Below are 15,385 nucleotides of genomic sequence, written 5' to 3' on the forward strand. Positions count from 1 at the left end.
AGCAATTTCAGTGAATTTGTGGGGCTGGAATCCAGGTCACATAGAATAAATAGGAGGTGGGGAAGTGAAGTCTGAGTGTTGTCATCATACTTGTTCAGAAGCCAACAGGAGAGAACCAGGAGAGAGAGAGAGCAGTTGAAGATATACAGACTAGGGAGTATTGTTGGATTAAGTTTCCTATGGAGAAGAGCAGCAAAGAGATCCAGATTTTAGGTAGAAGGACTGACTTAGATTCTGAAAAGGGACAACTCTGGCAATGAAACTAAAATAAAATTAGGATAGGTATTGATAGCATGATGCTCAGAGACCCTTGTTGACGAAGATCAGTAAAGTTGGAAACAAGTATTAAATCCTTCTAATTAGGCCGGATACAGTGGCTCATGTCTGTAATCCCAGCGTTTTGGGAGGCTGAGGTGGGAGGATCACATGAGGCCAGGAGTTTGAGATCAGCCTGGACAACATACTGACACCCTGTCTCTACAAAAAGTTTAAAAATAGCCACACATGATGGCATGCACCTGCAGTCCTAGATACTTGGGAGGCTGAAGCAGGAGGATTGCTTGAGCCTAGGGGTTCAAGATTATAGTGAACTATGATCATGCTGCTGCATTCCAGCCTGGGAAACAGAATGAGACCCTGTCTCAAAACAACAACAAATAGCAAATTTTTCTTTTTTCTTTTTTTTTTGAGACGGAGTCTCGCTCTGTCGCCCAGGCCGGACTGCGGACTGCAGTGGCGCAATCTCGGCTCACTGCAAGCTCCGCTTCCCGGGTTCACGCCATTCTCCTGCCTCAGCCTCCCGAGTAGCTGGGACTACAGGCGCCCGCCACCGCGCCCGGCTAATTTTTTGTATTTTTAGTAGAGACAGGGTTTCACCTTGTTAGCCAGGATGGTCTCGATCTCCTGACCTCATGATCCACCCGCCTCGGCCTCCCAAAGTGCTGGGATTACAGGCGTGAGCCACCACGCCCGGCCATAGCAAATTTTTCTAATTTAAGCCTTCTAATTCAGTAACCCCCAAGTAATTAATAAGGTTTAAAGTGTTAAATCTGAAACTTAGATGGACAGTAGGGTTCTCTGCTTCTGTAGAGATGCTGGTGGTGGGGAGTGGGCTCTCTCTTGTTTGTTTATAGCCTTTGGTGGGGCTGAGATTATAAAGAACATTAAAATGAATATTGCCTTTTCTTTGCCCGTTTTCCTCTCACATAAGGGTACTTTCTGAGACTTTTACCTCAGTTTTATCTTTCTGCCTAACCTTCAATGTTAGTCAGAAAGATCTTTGCTAGGCCTGGGTTAAACTAGGGATTTATGTGCAAGGAGCCAATATAAAACTTATTAAATAGTTTGAGAGTCTGAGCTATTATTCTGAAGGTCAGCATAATTCTTAAGGTTGCTTCTTGGATTTCCTTGCTAAAAATTAAGATATTAAACTCCAGGCACTGTAATATTCTTTTATCCTGAAGTTTAAACCAGGAAAGAACTTTCATGTAATTGATGGGCATACCAACATAGGATCCTAAAAAATGATCTTCCAGCTCTTAGGGGCAAAGGAATTCTATAAAACCCTTTTCTGAGGAGCTTATGGCTCAGCTCTAAGCAGGCTAGCTAGTCTTGGGAAGGGCTTGTAATCATGTTGCCTTTAATGATTATATTCACAATAAGTACTTAAACGTCTTTCTCCTGAGCTTAAAGTCAGCTTTTTAGCTTTTGGAAGCATGATTGGTATGAGGCCATCAGGTTTCCTTAGTACATTACCGTTATGGAAGGGCTTGGTAGATGAACAGAATAATTTATGGATAGTATTTTTTTTTTTTTTTTGAGATGGAGTCTTGCGCTGTTGCCCGAGCTGGAATGCAGTGGCACGATCTCAGCTCACTGCAACCTCCGCCTCCCAGGTTGAAGCAGTTCTCCTGCGTCAGCCTTCCGAGTAGCTGGGATTACAGGCGTGTGCCACCACGCCCAGCTAATTTTTGTATTTTTAGTAGAGACGGGGTTTTACTATGTTGGTCAGGCTGGTCTCGAACGCCTGACCTCGTGATCCACCCGCCTCAGCCTCCCAAAGTGCTGGGATTACAGGTGTGAGCCACCGCGCCTGGCCTATGGATAGTAAAATTAAAAAGAATCATGCTACTCACATATTCAGGTCTAAATGAAATGAGGCAGTGGACTAAAAGGAAACCGAATGAATTCCACCTCCTTTAAATACTTACTAGTTTAAAAGAAAATCTGTTAACTTTTTCCTTTTTCATCTGTGTGTTGTTTGACCTATTACAGCAAACATACATAGCTTTTATAAAAAAAAGAAATTATAAAAAAAAGAAAAAACACTTCTATCTTTAGAGTGAGAATTTTTAAAATTAGAATCAGACTGTTTTTGGCTATGAAGGTAATGAATATAGTGAAGCACAGTGGGCCTGATATCGTGTGAAAATGTAATGGACACAACTTTAGTTAGCTCTGATTTTTCCACCCTGCCTTCTTATCTCAGCACACAAGTGATACTGGCGTGTTGTGATTTTGTTTTTTCAGGCAGGGTCTCAGTCTGTTGTCCCTGCTAGAGTGCAGTGGCACAATGATAGCTTGCTGCAGCCTCAAACTCCCAGGCTCAAGTGATCCTTCTGCCTCGGCCTCCCAAAGTGCTAGGATTACAGGCATAAGCCACCTTGCCTGGCATGGTTTTGAGGTTTTTAGATATTGAACTGGATTCTTGTAGGTAACTCAGTTCTGATTTCATTTTGTGTGTTTCTTTTACCAATCTTCTAATCATACTTGGCCAATTGAGAACGCTCTCCGGTGGTTTTATGTTTTAGTTCTTACTATGTAGAACTTTAGGTGTTGCAAGTTGTGGGAAATACAAAAAAGTAAATCATGTTCTCTTCAAGGAGTTAATGATCTCCCTGGTAATATAAGAATAAGCATATTAAAAGTTCAGAACACTATATAATTATATAAGTGCTGATTGAGTGATTAGCCCAGTAAGTAACATAGATATTTGGAGGACACAGAGACTGTTGAGAACTGGAGTTGTCAGAAAAGGCAGCCAAAATTTTTCTTAAACACAAATCTGAGCATGTCATTCTCCAATTTAAAATCTTTCAATGCTTCCCCTTACCTATAGGATAAAGTTCGGGTTCCTTAAGCTTGTCATGAAAGGTCTTGATTTGGCCCATACCATCCTATCTCGCCACTACCTAGTTGTCTTTCAGCTATTCCTAATTATGTGCAGTTCTTTGAACATAAGCTTTTTCTTGTCTCCATGAATTTGCATTAGCTATAACTTTATGTAGCAACTTTATTCCTTCCCTTCTCTTTCTGGCTTATACTCATCTTTTAAGGTTAGATAGAGTCACTCCTCCTTGAAACTTCATTAAGTCCCCCATATTTCCTGTCCCTACCCAGGTAGGCTTAACCTCTTATGTTCATGAGCACTCTGTGCTTACCTGTTATAGCACTTAATCAACCTGTTTTGAAGTTGTTTCTCTTATTTAAAGAATAAATGAGGCCAGGTGCCTGTAATCCCAGCATTTTGGGAGGCCAACGCGGGTGGATCACCTGAGGTCAGGAGTTTGAGAACAGCCTGGCCCATATGGTGAAACCCTGTCTCTACTAAAAATAAAAAATTAGCCGGACGTGGTGGGTGGGCACCTGTAATCGCAGCTACTCTGGAGGCTGAGGCAGGAGAATCGCTGGAACCCAGGGGGCAGAGTTGCACTGAGCCGAGATCGCACCATTGCACTCCAGCCTGGGTGACAAAAGCGAAACTCTGTCTCAAAAACAGACAAAAAAAGGGAATGAACGAGGTGGATTTTAAAGAATAAATACCATTTGGAGAGATGAAGAGGAAGAGAAGTAGCCAGTCATGAAGGGAAAATAAGTAGTATGAGCAAAGAGTCAGTGATTTCGATGAGACTATAGTTGGAAGCTGATTCTGATTCAGTCTGCAGATGACACGGGCTTGGAAAGGTTGATGAAGATGTTGGATAACTGAATCAGCATCTAAAAAGATCAAAATATGTTGGAATGACAGTGATCAAATCTAATGAGAATCCTGGCTTTAGATACTTTCAAGACTCCATTAAGTGAAAGATGGATTAAACTTTTAAGTCTAATAATAATACTTTTTTATTTTTTTGAGATGGAGTCTTGCCCTCTTGCCAGGCTGGAGTGCAATGGCACGATCTCAGCTCACTGCAACCTCCGCCTCCTGGGTTCAAGCGATTCTCCTGCCTCAGCCTCCCGAGTAGCTGGGATTGCAGGCATGCGCCACCATGTCCAGCTAATTTTTGTATTTTTAGTAGAGACGGGGTTTCACCATGTTGGTCAGGCTGGTCTTGAACTCCCCACTTCAGCTGATCTGCCCACCTCAGCCTCCCAAAGTGCTGGGATTACAGGCGTGAGCCACCACACCCAGCCTAATAATAATACTTCTAACAGTCCCAAATGAGAGTCAATAGGCAGAAGTTACAAGGAAAGCAGATTATGACATTTTATAGAATTATTACATTGGTACTTTGTCTTATGAATTAGTGAATTCTCTATTATCCTAAATTTTAAACATCAAGAATATTGTAGATTTATGGGAGATTTGGAGAGACCTTTCAATGTGAACTTATGATTCTTTGTTGTTGAAGGGATTTGTGTGTCAGCAGAGAATTAGACTATATAATTTCTAAGGTCCATACCTTAGTGCTGTAGTTTATAGTAGGAAGAAAATTGTTCCTTGCAAAGCAAGAAAGGATTCAAGGCCGAAAAGAAGGATGTGAGGATAAAACCAGAGACCAAGATAAGAAAGTACTTATTGAATGGCTATAAACTCAAAAAAAATAAATAGATAAATATATTCACCTGGGATGTAGAACAAGCATTGACATTGTTTGGAATGGCAGTATGTTGGCTTTTCCTAGGGGATCAATAAGAAGAAAATAACTGGGCTTGGGGAGAGAACCTGGCTGAAGCTTGTATGAATTACTAGTGAACCAGATTTATATACCTCTGCAACTTTCTTCCGAAATGTTCTCTGTCTTGGAAAAGATATGGAAGAGTCAAGCAGCGGGCAGTTATGGTAATTTAGGTTTGCAGATTGTCATGGTGAATGTAGTAGTAGGCAGTTAGGCAGGGGGAGTTCCTGGGGTATTAGTGAGGGCAGCTTTGAATTGCATAACCATGTTGTCTAGCATGGACTGGGATAATCTTAGATGTTCTTTTTCTTTTTATGAGATTGTGTCTTACTCTGTCACCCAGGCTGGAGTGCAGTGGTGTAATCACGGCTCACTGCAACGTCCACCTCCCAGGTTCAAGTGATCCTCCCACCCTCCCACCTCAGCCTCTTGAGTAGCTAGGACTACAGGTGCACACCACCACCTGGCCAATTTTTGTATTTTTAGCAGAGGTGGGGTTTTACCATGTTGGCCAGGCTGGTCTCCAACTCTTGAGCTCAAGTGATCCACCGGCCTCAGCCTCCCAAACTGCTGGGATTACAAGGCATGAGCCACTGCAATATGTGTGTCCCAAATGCCAAGGCCTGGCTGTAGATGTCCTTAATGAATAGGGTAAAATAAGAATGGAGTGATTGAAGGTTGAGAATGATTAGGAGAGGGTATGAGAGACTGATAATGGTAAGTGCTAAATAGGTATGTTTGGGGAAGGAATAAGGCCCAAAATGTGGCAGTGTGGTGGCTGGACATGAATTGGAGATGAGTGCCAGTGGAGCCAAGTAGGCACAGATGCATTGTCACATATATCTTCACGTATATGTAGAGATGATAAATGAACCAAGTCATCGGGGAAGGCTAAGGTAGATTTGCCATGTGGAAGGGGATAGGCCACGGAGCATGGTCAATGACAGTGAGGATGATTTGAACAAGAGGTTATATGGGATGGTGTGGGCTTTCAGAAATAGAAAAGGACCAGGACTGATGGCTCACTGGTCTAGAAATGGCTCTGGGGAATTGGCAGGAGTCGGAGAAAGTAAGTCCTTTACAGGATAAGGCCTCTGTGGAGCAGTCATTGTCAAGCATTGACAGTCATGTTTTTGTTAAAGAGGTAAAAAAAAAAAAACCTGGAGAAAAAAGGAGTTTGCTGCTGTGACAGGAGAAGGTAGAGAGGGAAGAGATGTGCAGTGGGGGTAAGCTGGGCAGCTTTGAGAGTTTGATTGTTTTGATAATGGCTGGTAAAGAAATTGGAATGAAGGAATTCCTGGGGTAGGAGAGGGAGGGAGTTGGGCATTCCTCAGGCAGATCAGCACATGAAGAGTGAAATTTAACCACTGCAATATGTGTGTCCCAAATGCCAAGGCCACCCTGTCTGTTGGTGGTATCACGGCTTTGGCTTTTTGAAGCTTGTTGTGAGGGAAGTGGGGAATCAGTCTGCTCCCTGCTCTGCTCAAATTATTGTGCTAAGGAGACTTTGCCATGGTATGATTTTTGAGGCACGTGGTGATTCTGTCTGATTTGTAAACTGACAACGTGATCAGGGCCAAAGAGGAAGTTCAGCTAGGCCAAACCTTCCTAAGAAGAAGTCACTGTCCCACAGTTATGTGGGTAAGTTGTTCTAGAGAAACAGAGATGTGGGCAGGGCAGCAGCGTGGGAACCTGTTACCTGGGTAGCACTAAGCCAGTGCCTTCTCTGTGTTTCCTTTACAGATGAACGGGACCGGGTTCAGAAGAAAACGTTCACCAAGTGGGTCAACAAGCACTTAATGAAGGTAGGACCCTTTCATATATATGCTGCCCCAGCACCTCTCACTGCTCTCATCTGGATCTGTCATTCCTTCTTTCAGATGGTTTAGATTGCTTGCTGTGTGCTCAAGTCTATGAAGATACACATGTGACTTTTCTTTTCTCTTCTTTTCTTTTTTAATAGAGAAGGGGTCTTGCCATGTTGCTCAGGCTGTTCTCAAACTCCTGGGCTCAAGCAATCCTACTGCCTCAGCCTCCAAAGTGCTGGGATTACAGGCATGAGCCACCATGCCCAGCTTTTTGAAAACTAATATAGTCATAATGGCATGGAAACTTGTATTAATCTGCTTCTTGGTGAAGACATTATTACCTACCATTACATCAGGAGGCAGAGGCTGAAGATACCATGGGATGATTTTAAAAATTCGAAGAACAGTTTATTCCTAGCTTTATACATTGCTTTATAAGCCTGTTTCTTTTTTTTTTTAATTTATTAATTTATTTTAAAATAGACACAGGGTCTCACTATGTTGCCCACTCTGGTATCAAACTCCTGGGCTAAAGCGATCCTCCTACCTCTGCCTCCCAAAGTGTTAGGATTACAGGCGTGAGCCACTACACCCAGTGTATTTTTATTTTTTAATCTGAATACTATGGAAGGATGATAGAGGGGGATTTTCTCTCTTTCTCTTAAAGTGCATGAATCTTAAATGTTTAACTTGATGAATTTTTACATGAATTTTACCACCAGGTAGTCTAAAATACAGAATATTTCCAGAATGGTTAGGGCTGAATGAAGATTATTATTATCATTATTATTATTTTAAATAGAGGAGAAACCATAACAGAGGCATGTTAAGACTCACCTAAAGATAATAATAATAATTGTTATATATTAGATATATAAAATATAATAATAATATATTATTATGGTATTATTATTTTAAATAAAAGAGAAACCAAAACAGAGGCATGTTAAGACTCACCTAAAGATAAACAGTATGACTACTGTGGCAGTTAGAATCTGAAAACAAAGTTTTTGAATTATAATAATAATTAGTGCTTCTCTGGGAAAGGGAAAGGTCACCAGTGATCCCTTAATTGCCCTATCCAGTAGCCTAGTTTTATCTTCCTCTTATTTGATTTCTCTGTAGCATTTGATACTGTCGTCTACTCCTTAAAACCCTCTCTTACAATGACTTCTAGAACATTGCTTTTTCCTGAATTACCTCTTTCCTCTATGAATGCCTTTTTTTCTGCCTGTTTCACTGGCTTTTCTTCCTCTGTCTGACTCTTCCATGATGGTGTTCCCCAGGATCCTAACCTTGGCCATTTTTTGGTTTTGTTCTCTGTATTCTTTTTGGGCAGTCTCATCCATTGTAGCTGCTGGGATTGTTTTGTTGCATGGGATGCAAAGAAACATAAGTAGAAATGGATATGGGATGATCTCACAGAATCTGATGTCTAGATGCAGCTGGGCTTTATGAAAACTAAACAGTTATCAGAAAACTACTCTCATACTCTCTTTGTTTTTTTTTTTTTTTTTTTTTTGTTTGTTTGTTTCTTTGTTTGTTTGTTTTTTTGAGACAGAGTCTTACCCTGTTGCCCAGGCTGGAGTACATTGGGAAGATCACAGCTCACTGCAGCCCTAACCTCCTGGGCTTGAGTGATTCTCCCACCTCATCCTCCTGAGTAGCTGGAACTACAGGCATGCACTACCACACCCGGCTAATTTTTAAATTTTTTTGTAGAGATGGGTTCTCACTGTGCTGCCCAGGTCTTTCTTGTTTTTGTTGTTGTTGTTGTTGTTGTTGTGTTTTGTTTTTTGTTTTTTGAGATGGAGTTTCACTCTTGTTGCCCAGGCTGGAGTGCAGTGGCACGATCTCGGCTCACTGCAACCTCCGCCTCCTGGGTTCAAGCAATACTCCTGCCTCAGCCTCCCGAGTAGCTGGGATTACAGGCATGCACCACCACGCCCGGCTAATTTTGTACTTTTAGTAGAGATGGGGTTTCTCCACGTTAGTCAGGCTGGTCTCGAACTCCCAACCTCAGGTGATCCACCCACCTAAGTCTCCCAAAGTGCTGGGATTATAGGCGTGAGCCACTGTGCCTGGCCAACCCAGGTCTTTCTTGTTTATGGGGCCTTGTGTTCTTTCATTTTACTTCTGTGTGCCTCCTATATTCATTTCTCTGCTTTTCGTTTATTGCTACGAGTGAGCCATGGCGGCTGTGCCTCAAACAGTGACGTAAACCCCTGAGGCCACATGATTCTGGATGCACAAACACAGAAAGTCTGATGGGCTTAGGTCTTCTTTTCCTCCATGGGCCAATTGTCCATCTATAGTTCAGTAAACCGTGGGTAAGGAGGTGGTTACATAAATCACACATGTCTTCTTAGGGCCACTTGTTTAGTGGGTACTGCAGGTGAGCATGATTTTAACACTGCAAGATCTGGATAAGGAGGCAGTGATAGAGCCTTTTCTTGGATTCTTGCCTAAGCCAAAGGCAAGTGTCATGGTGTATTTTACACATTCATCTGTATGTTACCTAGCCATAGCTTTTTTTTTTTTTTTTTTTTTTATTTATTTTTTATTGATAATTCTTGGGTGTTTCTCACAGAGGGGGATTTGGCAGGGTCATAGGACAATAGTGGAGGGAAGGTCAGCAGATACACAAGTGAACAAAGGTCTCTGGTTTTCCTAGGCAGAGGACCCTGCGGCCTTCCGCAGTGTTTGTGTCCCTGGGTACTTGAGATTAGGGAGTGGTGATGACTCTTAACGAGCATGCTGCCTTCAAGCATCTGTTTAACAAAGCACATCTTGCACCGCCCTTAATCCATTTAACCCTGAGTGGACACAGCACATGTTTCAGAGAGCACAGGGTTGGGGGTAAGGTCACAGATCAACAGGATCCCAAGGCAGAAGAATTTTTCTTAGTACAGAACAAAATGAAAAGTCTCCCATGTCTACTTCTTTCTACACAGACACGGCAACCATCCGATTTCTCAATCTTTTCCCCACCTCTCCCTCCTTTCTATTCCACAAAGCCGCCATTGTCATCCTGGCCCGTTCTCAATGAGCTGTTGGGCACACCTCCCAGACGGGGTGGTGGCCGGGCAGAGGGGCTCCTCACTTCCCAGTAGGGGCGGCCGGGCAGAGGCGCCCCTCACCTTCCGGGCGGGGCGGCTGGCCGGGCAGGGGGCTGACCCCCCCACCTCCCTCCCGGACGGGGCGGCTGGCCTGGCAGAGGAGCTCCTCACTTCTCAGTAGGGGCAGCCGGGCAGAGGCGCCCCTCACCTCCCGGACGGGGCGGCTGGCCTGGCGGGGGGCTGACCCCCCCACCTCCCTCCCGGACGGGGCGGCTGGCCTGGCGGGGGGCTGACCGCCCCACCTCCCTCCCGGACGGGGCGGCTGGCCGGGCGGGGGGCTGACCCCCCCACCTCCCTCCCAGACGGGGTGGCTGTCGGGCGGAGACGCTCCTCACTTCCCAGATGGGGCGGCTGCCGGGCGGAGGGGCTCCTCACTTCTCAGACGGGGCGGTTGCCAGGCAGAGGGTCTCCTCACTTCTCAGACGGGGCGGCCGGGCAGAGATGCTCCTCACCTCCCAGACGGGGTCGCGGCTGGGCAGAGGTGCTCCTCACATCCCAGACGGGGCGGCGGGGCAGAGGCGCTCCCCACATCTCAGACGATAGGCGGCCGGGCAGAGACGCTCCTCACTTCCTAGATGTGATGGCGGCAGGGAAGAGGTGCTCCTCACTTCCTAGGTGGGATGGCGGCCGGGCGGAGACGCTCCTCACTTTCCAGACTGGGCAGCCAGGCAGAGGGGCTCCTCACATCCCAGATGATGGGCGGCCAGGCAGAGACGCTCCTCACTTCCCAGACGGGGTGGCGGCCGGGCAGAGGCTGCAATCTCGGCACTTTGGGAGGCCAAGGCAGGCGGCTGGGAGGTGGAGGTTGTAGCGAGCCGAGATCACGCCACTGCACTCCAGCCTGGGCACCATTGAGCACTGAGTGAACGAGACTCCGTCTGCAATCCCGGCACCTTGGGAGGCCGAGGCTGGTGGATCACTTGCGGTTAGGGGCTGGAGACTGGCCTGGCCAACAGAGCGAAACCCCGTCTCCACCAAAACCAGTCAGGCGTGGTGGCGCGAGCCTGCAATCGCAGGCACTCGGCAGGCTGAGTCAGGAGAATCAGGCAGGGAGGTTGCAGTGCTAGCCATAGCTTTTATTTAACACACCCTAAATTGTTAAGTATTTTCACTCATGTAGCCAGTTGTTCAAGTTAGGAACCTATTTGATTCAGTACTGCCTATAATCTCTCCCTTGTTACCAAGTCCAGTTAATCACTTGTAGCTCAGAAAGATTGCATGCATCTGTCTTCTCTTCTCCATCTCCATATCGCTGCTTTTGTTCAGGGCCTCTGTGTCTGTTGCCTTGACCATTATAATAGTTTCCTAATAAAGTTTTCTATAATAACAATGGTAGTAATAGTATCTTGAAGACTTCCTGTAAATCAGACGTATTCTCTCTCTGTGTGTGTGACAGGGTTTACTCTGTTGCCAGGCTAGAGTGCGGTGGTACAATCATAGCTCACTACAGCCTCCAACTCCCGGGCTCAAGTGATCCTCCCACCACAGCCTCCCAAATAGCTAGGTTTATAGGCACATGCCACTGTGCCTGGCTAATTTTTGTGTGTGTGTTTGTAGAGATGGGGTCTTGGTATGTTGCCCAGGCTTGTCTTCTACTCCTGACCTCAAGTAGTCCTCCCACCTTGGCCTCCCAGTGTCTTGGAATTACAGGCATGAGCCACCATGCCTAGTCTAAATCAGACATTCTGTATACTAAGTCCTTTACATGGATTATTTCATTTAATCCTTCAGTGATCTTATGCTGTGGGTTCTGTTAATATCCCCATTTTATAAATTACTTAGAGAGGGTAAGTAATTTGTTCAAGATCATGCTGCTAGAAAAAGGCAGAACTGAAATTTTAAAATTCAGGCAACCTAAAGTCTAGAAACCGTGCTCTTAACCCATGCAGAACTGGCTCTGGTTGCTGCCTACCTTTCCAGGCTCATAGCACCAAGTTTCCCTCATACCTTGAGTTCTTGCTGAACTATGTGCCATGCTATTTTATGACTCTGTATCTTTGTTCATTCTGCTCCCTGTGCTTGGAATATCTTTCCCAAGTTTGTTCTGCCTGGATAACACAAACTTAACACCTCTTCAGTAAGTATTTTCCTGACTTCTCTGATGTGGAACTGACTAGCCTTTCTTTGTGCCCCTGACTATACTCCTTATGTGCTTTTGTTAAAGCATCCAGAGTGTTTATATACATGGTGTATCTTTCAGCTATATTATCACTGGAGGGCAAATATTGTGTCTTATTGTTTATAGTGTTAGGACAAAGAAGAAAGAGAGAGAAGTAAGGAGAAAAGAAATTGTAATTTCCTTTTTTTTCTTTTTGGAGATGGAGTCTTGCTTTGTTGCCCGGCTGGAGTGCAGTGGCGCAATCTCAGCTCACTGCAACCTCTGCCTCCTGGGTTCAAGCGACTCTCCTGCCTCAGCCTCCTGAGTAGCTGGAACTACAAGCATGTGCCACCAAAGCCTGGCTAATTTTTGTATTTTTAGTAGAGACAGGGTTATACCATATTGGCCAGGCTGCTCTCCTGGGCTTGTGATCTGCCTGCCTCGGCCTTCCAAAGTGATGAGATTACAGGCATGAGCCACCGCGTCCAGCCGTGATTTCCTTTTGTAAATTTCTTCCATGGCTACTAGTTGCCTCTAGAGTTTGATGTCACCTAACTCTTTCCTGATGTAGAGCACTTTGCAGCGTTTCCAACCCACCTGTCTAGCTTCATTTCTAAGCACTCTGTTTTTTGTAGCTTGCGCTATAGCCACATGAGACAACTCACTGCCCCCTAAACACTGTGTACTTTCACACCTCCTTGCTTATTTATTTCTCTCCCTAGAATGCACGTCCCAGCCTCCTCTGCCTGACCATCACCCACTTCACCTTCTAGGCCCAGCTCCAGTATCACCTTCCTGAGATTCTGACCTCTGTTCCTCAGATTAAATCAATTGCAACTCCATCTGTATTTCATACTGCCTTGAAGAGATGCCTGTGTGTTCACTCATCGATGTTCTCTGTTACAGTACTCATTGAGGACTGGGATTGTATTATGCTACTTTCTCTGTTAAGTGCTGCACATAGCACATGAGAAGTATCCAATAAGTACTTGTTACCTTGAGTAACTAATATTTCAATAGTGTTATAGCGTATGAAGCACATTCTTATCTGTCTTAATCCTTAAAATAACCCTGAAGTAAGTAAAGGTGTTTTATCCCCTTAATTTTAACAGCTAGGGAAAATGAGAATTAGAGGAGTGAAGTGACTTTGCCAAAACGATACAGCTAGTGAGGGATGGAGCTAAGGATCAATCAATCATGAATCTTCTGATCAAAATTACTTGTTCTTCCTGCTAACTATGCCCCCAGCTGATTCTTTTTTTTTTTTTAGACAATACTGATATTAATTAAACGTAAGGTAAACTCCAGGCATCCGTCATCTTTCAGCCTAAAAATTAGCAAAAACTGTTGAAACAAGGCAGTTTTTTCCCCATTATTTCTTACGTTGTGGCTCCAGTTACAAAAAAATTTTAATGAAAACGTTAAACATAAAAATAGAAGTTTGAGATTTTAAAAAAGTATATAAAAAGCCCCACAAAACTTGTCAATGTTGTTCCTTATTCTACAAAATAGCACCAGTAAGAAGAGTAAAAGGTGTTAAAAACCATTACGACAGCATTTCTGAAATACAGCTTGTCTCAACTCCCGTTCTCCCTAAAAACGACTTCTCATGGAATAAAAAAGGATTTAAAAATTGCCAGAGGGAGCACCGAGCTTTGACTGCAGTTTTCCCTGTCATCTCTTAGATGAAGGGAAGGTGTGAGAAATGTGCGTCTGTCCCTGACTGCTGTCACCGCTTCTGAGTTTAGTAAAAAGATGAGAAATGAAGGTAGCAGACTTCTCATCTGGGGACCTGTGCCTGTGGAGGGTAGGTCTCTTGGAGAGGGAATGGGTTTGAGGGGTTGTCTTATCTAAGCTCCTTCCTTCACACTTGTCTCCTAGGGAAGAGGGAGATACAGAGGAGCCAAATATATGACAGCTTATATTATAGAACTTAGCACACCCCTTCCTGAGCTCCCCAGAGGGTTCTATTGCAGTCACTGGGAGGGATTTAGCTAAGAGTGGCCCCTGCCCTTGGGTTTGGCCCCTAGCTGATTGTTTCATACTTTGTCTCTAACCGTTGGAGGAACTGAATCAATCCTACCTTGAGCTTGTCCCCTGAACTTTGTAGTTGAATTCCAGTGCTCTGGCTCCTTGCTGCCTGTTTGTAGCTGATGCTGCCTGTTGGACCTCTGCCTCAGTGCTGTGTGATGACAGGAAGCTCAGGGAGGGAGAAGCTAGAGGAACACATCATAGCATTGTTAGAAATTGGAGGCCAGCCAAAGCTTTTCTTAAATCCTTGGTGATTTTTCATCTCTTCCCAGGCCCCCAGCCTTACAGTTTCAATAACATTTGCTCATCTTGGGATATTTCAGAGAGAGATTCACTGCTAATCAGAGTTATTGCTCTAAATTGGAATTATTTGATTTTGGGCTGAGAATTAGGGATTGAGATTTTTTTTTGCGACTCAAGCATCCTTTGCTTTGCTCCCCAAGTACACCCCAGATTAATGCCATCTTTGGCAGGTAGACCAACGTAAGGACAAAACCAACCAGGTGGCTAGGCATGGTGGTTCATGCCTGTAATCCCAGCACTCTGGGAGACCGAGGGGGTGGATCACTTGAGGTCAGGAGTTCGAGACCAGCCAGGCCAACATGGTGAAACCCCATCTCTACTAAAAATACAAAAATTAGCTGGGAGTGGTGGCTGGCGCCTATAATCCCAGCTATTTGGGAGGCTGAGGCAGGAGAATCGCTTGAACACGGGAGATGGAGGTTGCAGTGAGCTGAGATCGTGCCACCGCACTCCAGCGTGGGTGACAGAGCGAGACTCTGTCTCAAAAAAACAAACAAACAAACAAACAAACAAACAAAAAACACCACAAACCAGGTCTCCCAACTTCTAGATTTAGTTGATCTTGGAATCTCTTGGATTCCCTGATAACCTTTTGGGAAACAGCTTACTTTGGGATAAGCAAATTAATTCCTCCTTATTGAGAACACTTCTGATCCAATCTTAAAAGAGATTTGTTAAGGATATAAGCATCTGAAATAAACAACCTAATTTAGAATGTAAACATACATATGTAAGGGTTCTGCTTATATACCAGAACCATCAAAAAGAGAAATCTAGGTTTCTAAATGAGGTCTTATTTAAATTATCTATGCCATATCTCTGGGTGCTGTTAGCTGATAAAGTGTATCCCCCTAAAGAGAACATGAAAGTATGAACTCCTTAGGAGGGAGAAAAATGCTTTTTCTGGTCAGTTCCTGTTGACTTCACAGGTTAGTAGTTAGAAAGGAAAAGCCCAGTATTTAATCTAGCAGATAGAGCAGTTCTTTCCATTTTTGTATATGCAATCTAGAAGCCCCTGGCTTTCCTGGAATTTTAGATAAAATTTCCATATATACCAGCAAAAGTTTTCAAATTTTTAATAATGCTTACAACCAACCCTTCCTTCCTTCCTTCCGTCCGTCCGTCTTT

General features: G+C 44.3%; 1 protein-coding gene across 2 annotated transcripts in view, besides 4 other annotated features; it reads left to right on the forward strand.

The window, feature by feature from the left end:
* MACF1 (microtubule actin crosslinking factor 1) overlaps positions 1-15,385 on the forward strand; it is a 402,972-nt gene that overhangs the window by 140,374 nt on the left and 247,213 nt on the right. For both annotated transcript variants that reach the window (NM_012090.5, NM_001394062.1), the window contains exon 2: positions 6,642-6,703. In NM_012090.5, coding sequence (NP_036222.3) covers positions 6,642-6,703 — 62 coding nt within the window. The remainder of the gene's footprint in view (positions 1-6,641; positions 6,704-15,385) is intronic.
* Positions 817-1,010: a silencer, noted in NCBI's record as "fragment chr1:39691029-39691222 (GRCh37/hg19 assembly coordinates)". NCBI's record gives its function as "represses an EF-1alpha promoter that drives an FKBP-Casp9 reporter gene in an ReSE screen in K562 erythroleukemia cells {active_cell/tissue: K562}" and the evidence as "EXISTENCE:reporter gene assay evidence [ECO:0000049][PMID:32094911]".
* Positions 6,387-6,456: an enhancer, noted in NCBI's record as "active region_808". NCBI's record gives its function as "activates an Ori minimal core promoter by ATAC-STARR-seq in GM12878 lymphoblastoid cells {active_cell/tissue: GM12878}" and the evidence as "EXISTENCE:reporter gene assay evidence [ECO:0000049][PMID:35858748]".
* Positions 6,477-6,546: an enhancer, noted in NCBI's record as "active region_809". NCBI's record gives its function as "activates an Ori minimal core promoter by ATAC-STARR-seq in GM12878 lymphoblastoid cells {active_cell/tissue: GM12878}" and the evidence as "EXISTENCE:reporter gene assay evidence [ECO:0000049][PMID:35858748]".
* Positions 7,910-8,720: an enhancer, noted in NCBI's record as "H3K27ac-H3K4me1 hESC enhancer chr1:39698122-39698932 (GRCh37/hg19 assembly coordinates)". NCBI's record gives its function as "activates a minimal SCP1, AML or CMV promoter by ChIP-STARR-seq in naive H9 embryonic stem cells {active_cell/tissue: H9 hESC(naive)}" and the evidence as "EXISTENCE:reporter gene assay evidence [ECO:0000049][PMID:30033119]".

Source organism: Homo sapiens, chromosome 1, assembly GCF_000001405.40.
Source record: "Homo sapiens chromosome 1, GRCh38.p14 Primary Assembly".
Classification (NCBI taxonomy): Eukaryota; Metazoa; Chordata; class Mammalia; order Primates; family Hominidae; genus Homo; species Homo sapiens.